Source organism: Homo sapiens, chromosome 8, assembly GCF_000001405.40.
Source record: "Homo sapiens chromosome 8, GRCh38.p14 Primary Assembly".
Lineage (NCBI taxonomy): Eukaryota > Metazoa > Chordata > Mammalia > Primates > Hominidae > Homo > Homo sapiens.
The window spans coordinates 18,588,383-18,607,583 of record NC_000008.11 but is presented as its reverse complement, the minus strand read 5'-3'; the positions used below and the strand labels follow the sequence as shown (position 1 = coordinate 18,607,583).

Sequence of the window (19,201 nt, the reverse complement as noted above, 5' to 3'; positions counted from 1 at the left end):
TTATCCAAGACATTGCCTCCCGAATCTAGTTTAGCTGGCCTTTCTCTGTATGGAAACCAGAGTGAAAACGCCCAGTGCTATGGAGAAACAAGTGCTGCCGGTTCATAGGAGGTGAGAGGAAGGTGGTCATAGGTTCCACATCTGTGAGATGGAGGTTATAACCGTGGATCCCTCATAGACTTACGGGCTTTTGTTTATACAGGTCAAATCTTGGAACAGTGCCTAAAACAGTATGTGTTCAGCAATCATTTGCTGTGCTATTACTACTTCTGTAATTATTAGTAATATTAGATAACTATTCTGCAGAAATGTGGAGCTGGGAGCACCTGAGGGGGCAGGCACAGAGACTGTGCCTCTGTTCTGAGATCTGTAGTCATGAGCAGGGATGCCTTTGAAGGTCCTATAGTTGAGTGAGATTAGAGAAAGTACCTGGTTATATTTCCCTCTTATCTCATCATCTCTCTTCCTGCCTTCAGTGCCCACCTCACAGGAGTAGCAGACCGACCACTGCAAAGAATTGTCACCTGGATATTTTCTATTTCTTAATGTATCTTTAGAAAATATTTACTTAATTGTCCTGTACAGTAGCTTTGAAATCCTTAGATGGGTAGCTTCCTTGGGGGCATACTCTACCTTTCAGAATTGTAAATATAGTTAATAATGGGGGCATAAAATATAAAACAGAGACAATAATACCTACCTGAAAAGATTGTTTGGAACACATAGAACGTATAGGTATAACGTTAGCCCAACACTCAGAGTGCTGCAGTGTAGGTGCTTAGTTAATGTTAATGCCTTTCCCTTTCCTTCCATTTTATCTTAATGTATCGTATGCCTCTATTCATGTTCTGGCCTTTTTCTCTTATCTCACCTACTGTAATAATTTCCTTACTGGTTCCCCTTGTTCCAGTTTCTCTCCTTGTTCTCACTCTGCAATATCTCCTGCATCCTGCTCCAAATGAATTCTTCCTAGATAACAAAGTTTGTGCATAAATTCTTCCCTTCTTATAAAAAGAAGGAAAGAAAAATGCAATAGAGAATCTATTTTTTGCAATGTGATGGCCTACAGATTCTGAAACTCTCCCATAATAAAACATCTAAAACTGATAGATGAAATATTTTTAGATAACTTTTATCTGAATGGATAAGCCTGTAACAATGAAAGGGAAATCCTGTTAGGCCAGGAATAAAGCATGAGTACAAATGTGGGGAGGTGGCCAACCCTGGGGATGCTAAGCCTTCAGGACATTTTTGGATCTAGGTGGCCTACCAGTACTGAAGATAAAATTACACAGCATTTAGCACACAAGTACAGAGAGATGGAGAATATGAAAGAGTGAATAAGTCACAAGTGGAATGAAGTGAGAAGTTAGAATGGAGTGTCAGGTTACAATCATGAAGATGATAGAGGAGAGACATTATTCAAAGTTATAATGTCTACAGGTTTTTCAAAATAATACACAGGAAGCTCAAAGAACAGCAGTCTGTGTAAATTAAAGAAACCTGTGCTTAGACATAGCATTTAGACTCAGGGTAGAAATCTGTAGTAGTCCATTCTCACACTCATCTGAAGAAATACCCGAGACTGGATAATTTATAAAGTAGTTTAATTGGCTCACAGATCCACAGGCTATACAGGAAACATGATGCTGGCATCTGCTCAGTGTCTGGGAAGGCCTCAGGAAACTTAGAATTATGGTGGAAGGTAAAGGGGGAGCACCACTTCACATGGCCACAGGAGAAAGAGAAGGGGGGTGCTCCACACTTTTAAACAACCAGATCTCATGAGCACTCATTCACTATCATGAGAACAGCACCAAGGAGGTAGTGCTAAACCATTGATGAATCATGATCCAATTACCTCCCACCAGGCCCCACCTCCAACACTGGGAATTACAATTTAGCATGAGATTTGGGTGGGGACACAGATCTAAACCATATCATTCCGCCCCAGGCCCCTCCCAAATATCATGTCCTTCTCACATGGCAAAATACAATCATGCCTTCCCAACGTTCCCCAAAGTCTTAACTCATTCCACCATTAACTCAGAAATCCAAAGTCTGAAGTGTCATCTGAGACAAAGCTAGTTCCTTCTACCTATGAACCTGTAAAATCAAAAACAAGTTAGTTACTCCCAAGATACAATGGGGATACAGGGATTGGGAAAATATTCCCATTCCAAAAGGAATATATGGACCAAAAAAAAGGGGCTACAGGCTCCATAGAAGTCTGAAACCCAGAAGGCCAGTCATTAAATTTTAAAGATCCAAAAAATTGTTATTTGGCTCCATGTCTAACATCCAGGGCACACTGGTATGAGGGGTAGGCTCCCACAGCATTGGACAGCTCTGTCTCTGTGGCTTTGCAGGGTTCAGCCCCTGCAGCTGCGCTCATGGGATGGCATTGACTGCCTTCGGTTTTTCCAGGCATATATGGTGCAAGCTGTCAGTGGCTCTACCATTCTGAGGTCTGGAGGACAATGGCCCTTTTCTCACAGCTCCACTAGGTAGCACCCCAGTTGGAACTCTGTGTGAGGGCTTTAACCCTGCATTAGCCCTCCACACTGCCCTAGTAGGGAATTCTCCATGAGGGCTCCACCACTGCAGCAGGCTTCTGCCTGTACATCCAGACTTTTCATATATCCTGTGAAATCTAGGTGGAGACTCCCAGGCCTCAGTTCTTGTCCTCTTTGTAGCCACAGGCTTAAAACCACATGGAAGCCACTAAAGTTTGTGGCCAACATGCTCTGTAGCAGCAGCCCAAGCTGTACCCAGGCCCCTTTGAGCCATGGCTGAACCTGGAGAAGCTGGGATGCAAGGAGCAGTGTCCCGAGGCTTCACAGGGCAGCAGTGCCCTGGCTCTGGCCCATGAAACCATTCTTCCCTCCTAGGCCTCGAGAGGGGCTGCTGTGAAGGTCTCTGAAATACCTTCAAGGCCGTGTCCCCATTGTCTTGGCTAATAGCACTTGGCTTCTTTTTAATTTATGCAAATTTCTGCAGTCTGTTTGAATTCCTCTTCTGAAAATAGGCCTTTTTTTTTTCTATCACGTGGCCAGGCTGCAAATTTTTCAAACATTTATGCTCGGCTTCTCTTTTAAATTTAACTTCCAGTTTTAGGTCATTTCTTTGCTCACACATATGAGCATAGGATGTTAGAAACAGCCAGACCACATCTTGAGCACTTTTCCTGCTTAGAAATTTCTTCTGCCAGATACCCTAAATCATCACTCTCAAGTTCAAAGTTACACAGATCCCTAGGGCAAAGGCACAGTGCAAGCCATGTTCTTTGGTAAGGCATAACAAAAGTGACTTGTACTCCAGTTCCCAGTAAGTTCCTCATTTCCATCTGTGTCCTTGTTAGCCTTGCCTTTGCTGTCCATATCACTGCCAGCATTTTGGTCATAACCATTCATCCAGTCTCTGGGAATTTCCAAACTTTCAGTCATCTTCCTGTATTATTCTGAGCCCTCCACCCTCTTCCAACCTCTGATTTTTATCCAGTTCAAAAGTAGCTTTCACATTTTCAGGTATCTTTATAAGCAATGCCCCACTTGACAGTACCAATTTTCTGTATTGGTCCATTTTCATACTGCTATAAAGAAAACCTGAGACTGGGTAATTTATAAGAAAAGAGGTTTAATTGGCTCACGGGTCTGCAGGCTGTACAGGAAGCATGATGTTGGCATCTGTTCAGCTTCTGGGAAGGCCTCAGGAAACTTACAGTCATAGCTGAAAGTGAAGGGGGAACAGGGCTTCAAATGGCCAGAGAAGGAGCAAGCAAACTGGGCGAGGTGCTACACACTTTTAAACAACCAGATCTCACGAGCATTCACTTACTCAGTGTCACGAGAAGCGGATGGTGCTAAACCATTCATGAGAAACCACCCACATGACCCAATCACCTCCCACCAGGCTACACCTCCAACACTGGGGATTGTAGCTGAACATGAGATTTGGGTGGGCACACAGATCTAAACACTATCAACATTGCAACAATGGTGTTAGCCAAAAGATAGTGAAATAATGTCTTCATAAGAAAAAGCAGTTATCAACTTGGAATTTTTAATGAAATAAGGACATTTATTATACAAACAAAAATAGAAGATTGGCCACCAAAAGACCCTCCTCACTAAAGGAACTTCTAAAGGATAGACTTCAAGAAGTAATTGAAAATGGCCTCCAAAAAGCAATCTGAGGTACAGAAAGAAGTGATCAATAAAGATAAAAGTAAACATTAAACTGACAGTAGCATGTTATAGAAAAACAATGATGCCTGTTTCAATAGCATTAAAAAAAAGAAAAGCCAAAGTAAGGTTAGAGGCAGATTGTTGGAATCAAAACCCTAAAAGCTTCTTGTATTTTCAAGAAGGAAAGCAATTGATTGTCTTTGGACCTTAAGTATGCACAGTAAAAACTGCAGTGAAAAGATGGGCTCACATGTAAAATGGTGTCTTTTAATCAAACTCAGTAAACACTTTCTCACGGAAGATACCTGGATATTAAAGGATGTCAGCCTATTGATTCCCCACAGCCCTTGTAGTTAAAGCCTGTCAGTTGCTGCATTAGGTTTCCTGTCAGTAATCTTTTCACTCTTCCTCTCATCAAGTTCATTATGTGAAGTTACAACTCTTTACGGACCTCTGTGTGTTTAATAAAACACACGTGCTGTGAAATCACTTTAACTCCTTCTACAGTCCTCATGATGAGGACCAGTGCTTGTCATTCATTAGCATCCAGCTCATTGTGTTTTGCTTGAAGAGCCTCACCAAGGGTCCAGTGGCAACAGCGGCACTGTATGTGTGGTTGTCAAATCAGAGCAGTTGCACCTGCTCTAGAGAGCCTTCCCAGCCCACTTTAGTGCACAGTAGTCCCTTCTTCCCCTGAATTCTGCTTGATTGCACCCATCTGTCTCACGTAAGATGGAAGTATCAATAGTACCTTACTCTTAGCATTACGGTGTGAGTTAAATGGATTAATAAGTGTCAGAGCACTTAGAGCAGTGCTTTTATAGCACACCAACTAAATACCGTTGAATAATTGCTCCCTAGTTATCTTTTTGGGAGGATTATAGGTTGTTTCATCCATGTGTTAGATTACTAAATTGTAACTGGCCAAAGATAAGGTTAAGTTTTATACTTCTGTGGGAAATAGAAAAGTAGACTGCAGTAAGTGAGTACAATAAGTAAGTCAGTTACTAAGTAACTGACTTAGTGGGCATTAGTCACTCATGGGTGACTTTTAAAATCACATTTCGCTTGGAGAGCTCTTTGGAATCTCTTTGTAGTAGGCTTAGTGTAGTAATGAGAAAGAGCTGTTTAAAATTTTGTAAACATGTACTTGGATTAATTGATCTACTGCGAAAGTAGAAACGTAGATGTGTAGATTTTTGAACTAAAGGGATCGCAAGATGCCAATAAATTAGTTTTAGGGCTCGGGGAAAGCCTTTGTACTTCAGGACCTATGGCTCTTCTGTTAAAAACAAAAATATTTTCTCCAGGTTCCATTCCAGCATTAGCCAATGCTTTGCCTTCAGTTCTAGGAATTACCCACATTTTAAAATGAAGCAAAAGTACAGCAGTAGAGTGACTTGTTAGGGGCTGGTGGGTGGGAGGATAGTTTTCAGACCAGGTGAGATTGTGAAGGGGCTGGAAACCAGCTGGTCTGCTTTCAAGTCAGGTGCCTCCTGCACACTGTGCCACCTGAGGCCCTGCTCTGCAGCAGCCCTCTCAGCCCTGGTCTCTTCTGTGTGCGCAGTGCTCATGTTGGCAGTATCAGAATTTCACATCTATTGAACAATGTAGTGAATATTTATTTTATATGTGATGTATGGTTATCTGTTTATCTTAGTTGCTTTTTTGCTTTATAACGGAAATAATGGTATGCTTTTTTTTGGTTATATGTATTTTTAGTATACCTTTAAGCCTCACCTAGTGGAGGCAGAAGGGATGATATTTATTATCTCCCTTGGAAACCTGCAGGGTGGATATTTTGAATCCTTTCTTGCCAGGTGGATATCTCAGCATGGTGTTGGCAGGATTGCCTGTGTTCTGTAAGTGGCTATTCACCTAGTTCCAAGTCTAAGAATTCTTGAGTATTCAGTCAAAAGAGATTTAAAGGATTTGGTTGACAATAATGTACTTTCTAATGTAATCAGGTATCCAGGTTAAAGACAGACCACAGACAGCCACATGTTTGATACAAGAGCATGAGTAAATGGCTCTCCCTGTCTATTTCAGCAGACATGTTTAGAAAAATGATATTCAAGCAATAACATTTTCCAGTTATAGATTTTAATTGTATTAAGATAATAAATCCTAAACTGTTTTGCTAATCTATTGCTTTTTGCTTTAGAACAATTTGTAAGAGTTTATACAAGTCAGTAGAGAATTCATATCCAGAAAAATATAAACAGAAGAAATCTAAGGACTTCTGAAATAATTAATTATTTTGGATAATTTGTATGATTGTGTTTAATGTCTGTCTTGCAGTATACTCGATTTGGTGAATTCTAAAGATGAAGGATACCTCCTGTCAAGTCATACATAGTCTAGTGAAAGAGACATTTAGACGAAAATAGTACATTACAGCAAGATCCTCAGTAGAGATATGCACAGGTTGCAATAGGAGTAATAACATTTAAACTTGCACTCTGGTTGAGGGGGGTATGGGAGAAATGCCAAAAGTGGTCCTTTCATATTCTGAGACTACTTCGTGATTTCTAGAGTCTCTGAAGAAGCTATAAAGGCTCTGGTACATGAGCTCTTTAAGCTTTCTCTTGGATTGCTATGTATTTCCAGTATGCTTCCTGTGCTTACCCAGTCTGTTGTCAGCCATGCTACCTGGTTTTTCAGCCTTCTACTCTTCCTAGTTGTGGGACCATTAGCAAGTTATTGCCTTGTGTTTCAGTTTTGTAAGAAGAGAGAAATAGCACCAACCTGGTAGGAGCATTGTAAATATTAAGATCGTATATGGAAAACATTTTAGAATGCCGCCTGGTACACCATAAGGCTCAGAAAATTTTAGTTCTTATTGTTATTACTTTCGGTAGCTAGGTAGAATATTGAAACACTGTCACCATGTTGATCATTTAGATTCTCTTTCTAAAATGCTGATGTCAAATAAAATTTTACATTTTTTCCCCCTTTCTAGCTCCAAGAGGAAAACGAGGATGGAAAACCTTTTATGCTGTACTGAAGGGAACAGTTCTTTACTTGCAAAAGGTAAAAGTAAAGCAGATAAAAAATCCACAAAACTCGATGAAATAATTACATGAGGTCCAGTATATGTATGTACGGTAGTCTCCCTTATCTGTGGTTTCACTTTCTGCAGTTTGTTTGCTGATGTTAAAAAATTTTCAGCGGAGAATTCCAGAAATAAACGATTTTAAGTTTTAAGTTGCATGCTGTTCTCAGTAGCGTAATGAAATCTTTCTCAATCCTGCTGCATCCTGACCAGCTGTGAATCATCCCTTTGTCCAGCATAGCCATCCTATATATGCCCATCCTTTAATCACTTAATAGACATCTCTGTGATGACATCAGCTGTCCAGCTATCGCAGTGTTTGTGTTCAAGTGACCCTTATTTTACTTACTAGCCCCAGAGAACAGTGATGGTGGCATATTGTTATCATTGTTCTATTTTATTATTAGTTATTATGGTTAATCTCTTACTGTGACTAATTTATAAATTAAATTTTATGTTAGGTATGTATGTATAGGAGAAAACATAGTATACCGTCATCCCTCCATGCACACAACAGATTGGCTCCAGGACGCCCCTTAAATACCAAAGTCCCCACATACTCAAGTCCTGCAGTCAGCCCTGTTGAATCCACATATAAGAAAAGTTGGCTTCTGCATACTCGGGTTTCACGCCCCACAAGTGCCATATTATTAGTCCTCATTTGATGGAAAACAGTCTGCATATTAGTGGATCTGTACAGTTCAAGCCCATTCTCTTTAAGGGTCATCTATATATAGGGTCTCGTACTATTCAAAATTTCAGGCGTCCACTGGGGGTCTTAGAATACATCCCACATGGATAGATAAGGGGAGCCTACTGTAGCACATATTCTTTATTCATCGTTCAGTGGACACTTAGGTCGTTTCCACCTTTTGTGAGTAATGCCGCAATGAACATGGGGTGCAAATATCTCTTCAAGATCCTAATTTCATTTCTTGTGGATAAATACCCAGAAGTGGGACTGTGGGGTCATATGGTTCTGTTTTCAGTTTTTTGAAGAAACTCCATATGGTTTTCCAAAGCAATGTACCATTTTATACCTGAACAACAGTACATAAGGGTTCCAGCTTCCCCCCATATATGTGTTGAATTTGTCTGAGCTCTGTGTTCCATTCTGTTGGTCTATGCATGTGTCTGTCTTTATGCCAGAACCATATTGATTTGATGTTGTAGCTTGGTAATATGTTTTGAAATCAGGAATGTGAGGCCTACAGCTTTGTTCTTCTTTTTCAGTATGATTTATGGCTTATTCAGAGATTCAGAGTCTTTTATGATTACATATAAATTTTGGAATTTTTTTTTCTTTTTCTGTAAAAAATTCCACTGGGATATTCACAGGGATTTTATTGAATATGTAGGTCGCTGTGGGCAGTATGGACATTTTAATAATGTTAAATCTTTGAATCCTGAATCCCTGAAGATGGAATGTCTTTTCATTTATTTGTGTCTTCTTTAATTTCTTTCAGCAGTGTTTTATAGTTTTCAGTGTATATGTCTTTTGCCTTCTTGATCATGTTTATTCTTAAGTATTTTTTAATAGTTTTTGATGCTGTTGTAAATGGTATTATTCATTTCCTTTTCAGATTGTTCATTGTTAGCATATAGAAATGGAACTGATGGTTGATTTTGTATCCTGCAACTTTGCTGAATTTATTTATTCTAATAGGTTTTTGGGGAATCTTTGGGTTTTCTACATATAAGATCATTTGAAACTGTATCTGTTTTGAGGGTTTTTCAAATCATGAAAGGATATTAATATCATCGCTTTCCTGCATCATTGAGATGTTTGTGTAATTTTTATCATTTGATCTGTTAATGCGTTTTATCACTTTGACTGATTTTCATATGTTGAACCACCTTTACATCCCAAGGATAAATCTCACTTGGTCATTGTATATGATCCTTTTTTTTTTTTTTTTTTTTTTTTTTTTATTATACTCTAAGTTTTAGGGTACATGTGCACATTGTGCAGGTTAGTTACATATGTATACATGTGCCATGCTGGTGCGCTGCACCCAATAATGTGTCATCTAGCATTAGGTATATCTCCCAATGCTATCCCTCCCCCCTCCCCCGACCCCACCACAGTCCCCAGAGTGTGATATTCCCCTTCCTGTGTCCATGTGATCTCATTGTTCAATTCCCACCTATGAGTGAGAATATGCGGTGTTTGGTTTTTTGTTCTTGCGATAGTTTACTGAGAATGATGGTTTCCAATTTCATCCATGTCCCTACAAAGGATATGAACTCATCATTTTTTATGGCTGCATAGTATTCCATGGTGTATATGTGCCACATTTTCTTAATCCAGTCTATCATTGTTGGACATTTGGGTTGGTTCCAAGTCTTTGCTATTGTGAATAGTGCCGCAATAAACATACGTGTGCATGTGTCTTTATAGCAGCATGATTTATACTCATTTGGGTATATACCCAGTAATGGGATGGCTGGGTCAAATGGTATTTCTAGTTCTAGATCCCTGAGGAATCGCCACACTGACTTCCACAATGGTTGAACTAGTTTACAGTCCCACCAACAGTGTAAAAGTGTTCCTATTTCTCCGCATCCTCTCCAGCACCTGTTGTTTCCTGACTTTTTAATGATTGCCATTCTAACTGGTGTGAGATGATATCTCATAGTGGTTTTGATTTGCATTTCTCTGATGGCCAGTGATGATGAGCATTTCTTCATGTGTTTTTTGGCTGCATAAATGTCTTCTTTTGAGAAGTGTCTGTTCATGTCCTTCGCCCACTTTTTGATGGGGTTGTTTGTTTTTTTCTTGTAAATTTGTTTGAGTTCATTGTAGATTCTGGATATTAGCCCTTTGTCAGATGAGTAGGTTGCAAAAATTTTCTCCCATGTTGTAGGTTGCCTGTTCACTCTGATGGTAGTTTCTTTTGCTGTGCAGAAGCTCTTTAGTTTAATTAGATCCCATTTGTCAATTTTGTCTTTTGTTGCCATTGCTTTTGGTGTTTTGGACATGAAGTCCTTGCCCACGCCTATGTCCTGAATGGTAATGCCTAGGTTTTCTTCTAGGGTTTTTATGGTTTTAGGTTTAACGTTTAAATCTTTAATCCATCTTGAATTGATTTTTGTATAAGGTGTAAGGAAGGGATCCAGTTTCAGCTTTCTACATATGGCTAGCCAGTTTTCCCAGCACCATTTATTAAACAGGGAATCCTTTCCCCATTGTTTGTTTTTCTCAGGTTTGTCAAAGATCAGATAGTTGTAGATCCTTTTAATGTACTGTTGAATTCAGTTTGCCAGCATTATGTTTAGAGTTTTTGCATTTATGCTCATAATGGATGTTGGCAAGTAGTTTTCTTGCAGTACTGTTTTCTGGTTTTGATATCAGGGTCATGCTGGCCTCATAAAATGAGTTTGGAAGTGTTCCCTCCTCTTCAATTTTTTGGAACAGTTTGAGAATGATTGGCATTAGTTGTTTAACTGTTAGGTAGAATTCACTGGTGAAGCCATCTGCTCCTAAACTTTCCTTTGTTGGGAGGGTTTTCATTACAGATTCAATCCCCTTATTATTACAGATCCATTCAGATTTTCTACCTCTCCGTAATTCATCTTGGTAGATTGTAGGTTTCTAGTAATTTATCCCTTTCTTCTAGGTTTCCCAATTTGTTGGTGTATAATTGTTCATAACAGTTTCTTAGAATCCTTTTAGTTTATGTGGCATCAATTGCAATACCTCCTGTTTCATTTCTGATTTTATTTATTTGAGTGTTCTCTGTTTTTTTCTTAGTCCAGCTAAAGGATTGTCAATTTTGTTGATCTTTTGAAAAGAAATTTTTAGTTTTATTTTTTCATTTCTCTATTTCTTTTATTTCTGCTCTAATCTTTGATTAGATTTTCATTTCTCTATTTCATTTATTTCTGCTCTAATCTTTACTGTGTCTTTCCTGTGCTGACTTTGATTTTCATTTCTCTATTTCGTTTATTTCTGCTCTAATCTTTATTGTTTCTTTCCTGTGCTAACTTTGCATTACTTTATCTGGTGTAAAAACAGGTTGTTTATTTAAATCTTTCTTCTTTTCTAATGTTAAGTGTTTATTACCATAAACTTGCCTATTGGTACTGCTTTTGTTTCCTTCCACAAGTTTTGGCATATTGTTTGTCCATTTTTGTTGGTCTCAAATTATTGTCCAATTTCCTTTTTGATTTTTTTTTGACCCATTGATTGTTCAGGATCATGTTGCTTAATTTCCACATATTTGTGAACTCTCCATTTTCCTTCTGCTTTTAATTTCTACTTCCCTTTCTTTGTGATTGGACAATATATTTGGTATTATTTCAGTCTTCTTAAATTTGGTAAGATTTGTTTTGTAACTTAGAATTTTATCTATCCCAGAGAATGTTCCATGTGCACTTGAGAAGAATATATATTCTCATGCTGTTGAGTGGAATGTTCTGTATATGTTTGCTAGGATATTTGGTGTATTGCATTTTTGAAGTTCTCTGTTTCTTTATTAGTCTTCTGTCTAGAAGTTCTGTACATTATAGAGAGTGGGGAGTGGAAATCTCCTACTATTGTTAATTTCTACCTTCAGTCCTGTCAATGTTTACTCTATATATTTACGTGCCTTGATGATAGATGCATATGTACTAATAATGGTTACAACTGTGTGGTGAATTGACTCATTATTATATGTCATTCTTTCTCTCTTGACAGTTTTTTACTTATTTTGTATAATATAAGTATGGCTACCCCTCTGCTCTTTTTGTTACCAATTGCATGCAATATTTTTTCCATTATTTCATGTTCAGGTGTGTGTGTCTTTAAATCTAAAGTGAGTCTCTTGTAGACAGCTTATACTTGGGTTTTTTTTTCTCTCTCTCTCTGCATCTGTCCCTCCCTCCGTCTGTCTCTGTCTCTCTGTCTCTCTCTCTCTCAATACATTCAACCACACTCCCAGCTGTGATTGGGAGTTTAATCCATTCATATTTAAAGTAATTATCGATAGAGAAACACTCTTGCTATTTTGCTATTTATTTTCTGTCTTGTCACTTTTTTACTTCACTCTTATTAGTATTCCTTTTTTTTTTTTTTTGTAATAACATTTCTTTATTCTCATTTTCTTTTGGGTATCTTTTAGGGTTTTTTTTGTTTGTTTGTTTGTTTGCTTACCATGGGGCTTACATAAAACAGTTATAATGATCTATTTTAAGCTGATAATGATTTCAGGTCATATGCCAAAACTATACTTTTACTCCGTCACAAATTATATCCTTTTGTATTCTGTTCCCACTAATGTATATTTATAGGTAAAGTATTTTAATACTTTTTTTAAAATTTCTATACCAGAGTTAAAAGTCATTTACACACCACTATTACAACATTAAAGCATTGTATATTTTTCCTACATATGCTCAGCACTGCATATCAGTGATTGCTGCATTTGAATTCAACCAACCTGAGATTGAAATATTCAGAAAAAAAAAGTTCCACAAAGTTTCAAAAAACAAAACTTGAATTTTCTACATGCTGAGTACTATGTTGAATCTATGCCAATGAAGTGATGTGTAGGCCTTTTATTAGGTATCATGAGTAATCTAGAGATGATGTAAAACGTGTACAGAAGGATATACATATGATATATGCAAATACTGTGTCATGTTATGTAAGTGACTTGAGCATCCATGGATTTTGGTGTCCATCAGGGGTCCTAGAACAAATCTCCCACGGATACCAAGTCCTGTCTCTGTTTACTTTTGCTATTGAGCTTTATACTTTCTTGTTTCTGTTTAGCATTCTTTCATTTCAAGTTGAACTCCCTTTAGCCTTTCTTGTAAGGCAAGTCCAGCAGTGATGAACTCTCTCAACTTTCGTTTACCTAAGAAAATATTATCTTTCTTTCTTTTGTATATATATAATATAATATATAAATAATATAATATATTATATATAATGTATATTATTTATATATTATATAATATATTATATATAATGTATTATATTATTTATATATTATATAATATATAGAATATATATTATATATTATAATATATATTATATATAATAATATATATTATTATATATAATATATATTATATAATATATATAATAATATATATTATATAATATATATAATAATATATATTATATAATATATATAATAATATATATTATATAATATGTATATAATAATATATATTATATAATATGTATATAATAATATATATTATATAATATATATATAATATATATTATTATACTTTAAGTTCTAGGGTACATATGCACAACGTGCAGGTTTGTTATATATGTATACATGTGCCATGTTGGTGTGCTGCACCCATTAACTCGTCATTTGCATTAGGTATGTCTCTTAATGCTATCCCTCCCCCCTCCCCCCGCCCCACAACAGGCCCCGGTGTGTGATGTTCCCCTTCCTGTGTCCAAGTGTTCTCATTGTTCAATTCCCACCTATGACTGAGAGCATGCGGTGTTTGGTTTTTTGTCCTTGTGATAGTTTGCTGAGAATGATGGTTTCCAGCTTCATCCATGTCCCTACAAAGGACATGAACTCATCCTTTTTTAGGGCTGCATAGTGTTCCATGGTGTATATGTGCCACATTTTCTTAATCCAGTCTATCACTGATGGACATTTGGGTTCGTTCCAAGTCTTTGCTATTGTGAGTAGTGCTGCAATAAACGTACGTGAGCATGTGTCTTTATAGCAGCATGATTTATAATCCTTTGGGTATATACCCAGTAATGGGATGGCTGGGTCAAATGGTATTTCTAGTTCTAGATCCCTGAGGAATCACCACACTGTCTTCCACAATGGTTGAACTAGTTTACAGTCCCACCAACAGTGTAAAAGTGTTCCTATTTCTCCACATCCTCTCCAGCACCTGTTGTTTCCTGACTTTTTAACGATCGCCGTTCTAACTGGTGTGAGATGATATCTCATTGTGGTTTTGATTTGCATTTCTGTGATGGCCAGTGATGATGAGCATTTTTTCATGTGTCTGTTGGCTGCATAAATGTCTTCTTTTGAGAAGTGTCTGTTCATATCCTTCACCCACTCTTTGATGGGGTTGTTTGTTTATTTCTTGTAAATTTGTTTGAGTTCATTGTAGACTCTGGATATTAGCCCTTTGTCAGATGAGTAGATTGGAAAAATTTTCTCCCATTCTGTAGGTTGCGTGTTCACTCTGATGGTAGTTTCTTTTGCTGTGCAGAAGCTCTTTAGTTTAATTAGATCCCATTTGTCAATTTTGGCTTTTATTGCCATTGCTTTTGGTGTTTTAGACATGAAGTCCTTGCCCGTGCCTATGTCCTGAATGGTATTGCCTAGGTTTTCTTCTAGGGTTGTTACGGTTTTAGGTCTAACATGTAAGTCTTTAATCCATCTTGAATTAATTTTTGTATAAGGTGTAAGGAAGGGATCCAGTTTCAGCTTTCTACATATGGCTAGCCAGTTTTCCCAGCACCATTTGTTAAATAGGGAATCCTTTCCCCATTTCTTGTTCTTGTCAGGTTTGTCAAAGATCAGATAGTTGTAGATGGGTGGTGTTATTTCTGAGGGCTCTGTTCTGTTCCATTGGTCTATATATCTTTCATTTTTAAAGGGTAGTTTTGCTGGATGTAATATGCTTGTGTGGCAAGTGTTTTTGTTTGTTTGTTTGTTTGTTTGTTTTTTTGAGCACCTTGAACATATCATCACAGTCACTTCTGGCCCTGGATCATTTATGCTGAGAAATACACAGACCAATCACTTTTCTTTTGCTACTTTCAAAGTCCTCTGTTTTTCTTTGACTTTTTATAATTTGGTCATTGGTCCCAGTGTAATTTATTTCCATTAATCCTGGTTGTCATTAGGCTTCTCGAATCTGGATGTCTGTTTCCTTCCTCAGATTTCAGAAGTGTTCGGTAAATAAGCTTTGTGCCCTCTTTCTTCTTTCTGCTCTTTCTTGGATTTCCATAATGTGTTGGTCTGCATAATGATGTGTATAAGGCTCTCTTAACTCTTTTTCATTCTTATTTATCTTTGTTCTCTGAGTGGATAATTTCAAATGGCCCGTTTTCAAGTTTGCTCATTCTTTCTTCTTTGTTTTCTGCTCTTGAGCCTCTCATCTGAATTTTTCATTTCAGTTACTATATTCTTCAGCTTGAAAATATCTATTTAGTTCCCTTAAATATTTTCTCTTTGTTGATATTCTCATTTTGTTTATTCATCTTTTTTTAGCTTGTTGAGCATCTTTACAGTGTTTATGCAGGTAATTCTTATACCTTTGTTTCTTTACGGTCAATTTCTGGAAATTCATTTTGTTCCATTGAACCATGTTTTCCTGTTTGTTCTGTCTCTTGTAGCTGTATTGGGATCTGCACATTTGAAGAATCAGCCACCTCTTCCAGTATAGAGACTGGCTTGCTACAGCAGAAGCCCCTCACCAGTCATCTTTGCAACAGATTTTAGGGAACTCTGAATCCTTTTTCAGGAGCCCATAATCCTTGCACCCTTTGATGTCTGTCTGCAACACTGCAAGTTATCTGATTTTAGAGCAGGAAGCTACCCAGCTGTCCCCTGTTCTAAGCAGCCACCAAGTGTATGCCATCAGTTCCCTGAATCAGGAGAGTCAGATACCACTCCCTCAGATAGCCCTCCAAAAAGCCAGAATGCTGGATGCATACTCTGCTCCTCTCTCTCTCCCTCCCAAGGGAGAAATCAAGTACACTAAGTGTGCCAGCCACAGCAAGCCACCTGTCTCTCTACTCTGTTCTAAGTGTCCTTCAGGCTTCCAAGCTATGCTAGTTCTGTTAGTGCTGTGAGTGAGGTGAGAAAGAAATTAGTCCCTTGGGGCCAAGAAGAGCTGAAATGAGGGCCACACACTCTACCTTTCTTCAGCCCTCCCAAAGTAGAAGCTTCAGGTTGACCACCTTTTCTCCCAATTGCATCAAGCTGTGCTGACTGCAGCGAACCACCCACCACTTTCCTTTGTTCTTAGCAGTGCCCAGGTATCCACACTATTGCAGTTCCCTCAGTATTCCAATTGAACCAAGATTAAGCCATTACCCAGGCAGCCCTCTGAAAAGCCAGAATAGCAAAGACCTCTTTCCTTTCCCCCATCAGAGATGTCAGGGGCCAGGGCATTCTCTTCTGGTGCTGAGGCATGCTAGCTTCAGGGAGGGGTTGATGTGGGTAAGATGAAATCACTCTTCTTACCTGTTTCAGCGTGGGTTTCTTGGCTTTGTGCTCTCCTGGGGTACTACAACCTCTTCACTGGATTTTGGTATTGTCTTAGTAGGTATTTTGGTCCATAAATCATTGATTACTCAATATTTTTATTGGGGAGATGGGAGCTGGGACTACCTATTCTGCTGTCTTGCTAACAGCACTCCCAGGAAGAGACTGTTTAAATCTATGTGGAATCATAGTATAACACAGTTTTGGCGTCTTATTCTTTTCACTCTGTATGTTATCATAAACAGTTTCTTATTAAAAGTTTTTTAGAAACATTTTTGGTTTTCATCAATCTGGTATTTGGTGACTGTGAAATGATATGTAATTATGGTTTTGTTTCTTCTGTCCCTAGATCATTTATAAACATATTCATTTTTAAATGCATGTAGTATTTTTTGTTAAATAGATTTATCATAATTTAACTTTTCCCCCACTTTCAGACATACTCTTTTTTAGTTTTTCATTTATAAAATAACACTGCACACACACACATGCACATATCTCTTTTATTTTCTTAAGATTCCTAGGGGTGTCATGGGGCACATGGTAGGAACTGTTTACAGTTCTGAAAACATATTTCTAAATTACCTCCAGAAAGATTATACCTAATGTCATTCCTTACAGAAGTTTGTGACAACATGTCTGTTTTCAGTGTATTATTGACATATGGGTATTCAGAGGAAAGGATCTGAAAGGATTCATTTTGAACTTCTTGTTTTTGGTGTTTGTCCACGAACACATGTCCTTCCACTCTTTACACACTGCTGTAGTTGCCTTTCCACACCTGTGTTTCTCTGGCAAAGAGGCCTCCCGTTTGATTTACTATCCGCAGTACTGAATCAGATGGCGACCCCTCATGGTATGCACGCTTGCACCACTGAGATGATCAACTGCTTTGGAATGGAGACTGGGAAGGAATACATTTGATTTATTGTTATTTTAAATTTTTCAAAATATTATAATAATGCCATATATGAGATTGAAAGAATTATTCTTTTTTAAAACTAGCCTTCCTTTGTCCACCCAGATCTTTATTTAAAGGACTTTATATTTCAACTATACTGTATCTTTTTTGCTTTTTTATTGTTGTTGTTGTTGTTTTCTTTGCTTGTTTTTGTTTTTTTACAAAAGTTTATTTTTAAATGTTCAACAGATTCCAAGACAGCACTTCATTTTAGCTGTAGGTGGCAAAATATGTTATGGCAGGGAATACAGATGTTTAAGTAAGAACGGAAGGCAAGGATCACCATCACCTCAGACGCAAAGAACAACTTACTTGTGGACAGATTTCTTAAATCAACCTTTTGGGCAGGGGACCCTTGCCCACAGCCTTTGCTTTCAGCTCCAGAGTTTCTTTGTCTTTTCTTTTTGTTTCTGCTTAGAAGCCCTCGCCTCCTCGCCCATCTCCTTGGCTCATTTCAGGGCTGCTTCTTGCCACTTTGATGGCTGGATCTGGTGCCTGCCACCCCTTCTCCAGACCCTGCCACTGGAAACCCATATCTTTCATTAACATTTTACATATTACCAGAGCAGCTTTGTAAACAACATTTTTATAATTATTTTTTGTTTTATTTTTTATCTGAACTGTTTTCAAGTGTCCAAATTAGGAAGGACCATATCTAACACAAACCCTTTTGTCATCTTCCTTTTGGAATACATCAGGTAAGGAATATTGGAGCATGGAATGCTTCACCTTAGACCATGATCTCTTTTTGGGAAAATAGGCTTTGTAGAAAGAGATATGGAGTTAGCTGAAACCCAAAGATCACAAAGTAAATGATTTGCCGCATCCTTCTAAAATTCTCACATTACTTTGAGGGTCATGACAAGGGAGAAATGGAGGCAGTTGTTGATACTTGGAGATTATCCATGCTCTTAGGTGGCTGGCTATCTCATACTGTCTTTATTTTCCTATGGAGTCTATAAGCTTGTTTTCCTGTGGAGTCCTATAAGCTTCTAGTTTATAAGTCAGCTACTCTGGCCTCTGCCAGATCAGCATGTGTGTACATGCTGGGCCCACACTGGTCCTTTTAGCTACCTTTGTCTCTGCAAGGAAGAACCCTTTGAAATTAAATTTCACATATCACAGCCATTTCCCCAGCATAAATTCCACTCTCTTGGGTCACTTCTTTATTTTGTCTAAAATCTGTGTTAAGGGGCATAGCTGCCTTTGGCAAAACCGTTTCTCTGAATACCTAGCCACCGGATTTCCACCCACTCCATCTCAGGGTGGGCCTGGGAAGAGAACACTATTCTCACATTCAACATTTGAGAGGAGTGATGCCAAGAAAGATGCTGTTTCAAAGGTACCAGCTTTTCCTACATCACTGTCCTCTCCCTCAGATAAATGTATTGGGAGTTTGAGTCATCAAGATGGAGAATGGGTTAGTATTGACAAGGGAACAACTTTGTAAACTTTGAAGCTTCAGCATCAGCTTGGATTAGAGCTCCAAGAAGGTTGCTTCTCCGGATTTATGATAGCTCTGGAGTGTGGCAAATGTGCATTTGGGCAAAGTTGGGTGAAATTGCTTTTATAAAGAGAAAAGCCTGGCAGTAAGGAAATTATACATTTATGAAGAGTGAATAGTAGAATCATGGGTTATTGTTCGGGTTGCTATTTCAGTTAAATCATAAGAATGCTAGCATAGCTGTAAACTATCTACTTACAATGAGAATAAGCCTGCAAAAGGGTGGCCATGTTTAATAACCAGTCTCCACTCTCTTCTTAATGCTCTTTTTTAAAAAATCAGAACTAATATATG

At 38.0% G+C, this 19,201-nt stretch overlaps 1 protein-coding gene across 23 annotated transcripts in view; it reads left to right on the top strand.

Moving 5' to 3' along the window:
• PSD3 (pleckstrin and Sec7 domain containing 3) overlaps positions 1–19,201 on the top strand; it is a 557,503-nt gene that overhangs the window by 477,222 nt on the left and 61,080 nt on the right. For all 23 annotated transcript variants that reach the window (NM_001412865.1, NM_001412866.1, NM_001412872.1 and 20 more), the window contains one exon: positions 7,150–7,220. In NM_001412865.1, coding sequence (NP_001399794.1) covers positions 7,150–7,220 — 71 coding nt within the window. The remainder of the gene's footprint in view (positions 1–7,149; positions 7,221–19,201) is intronic.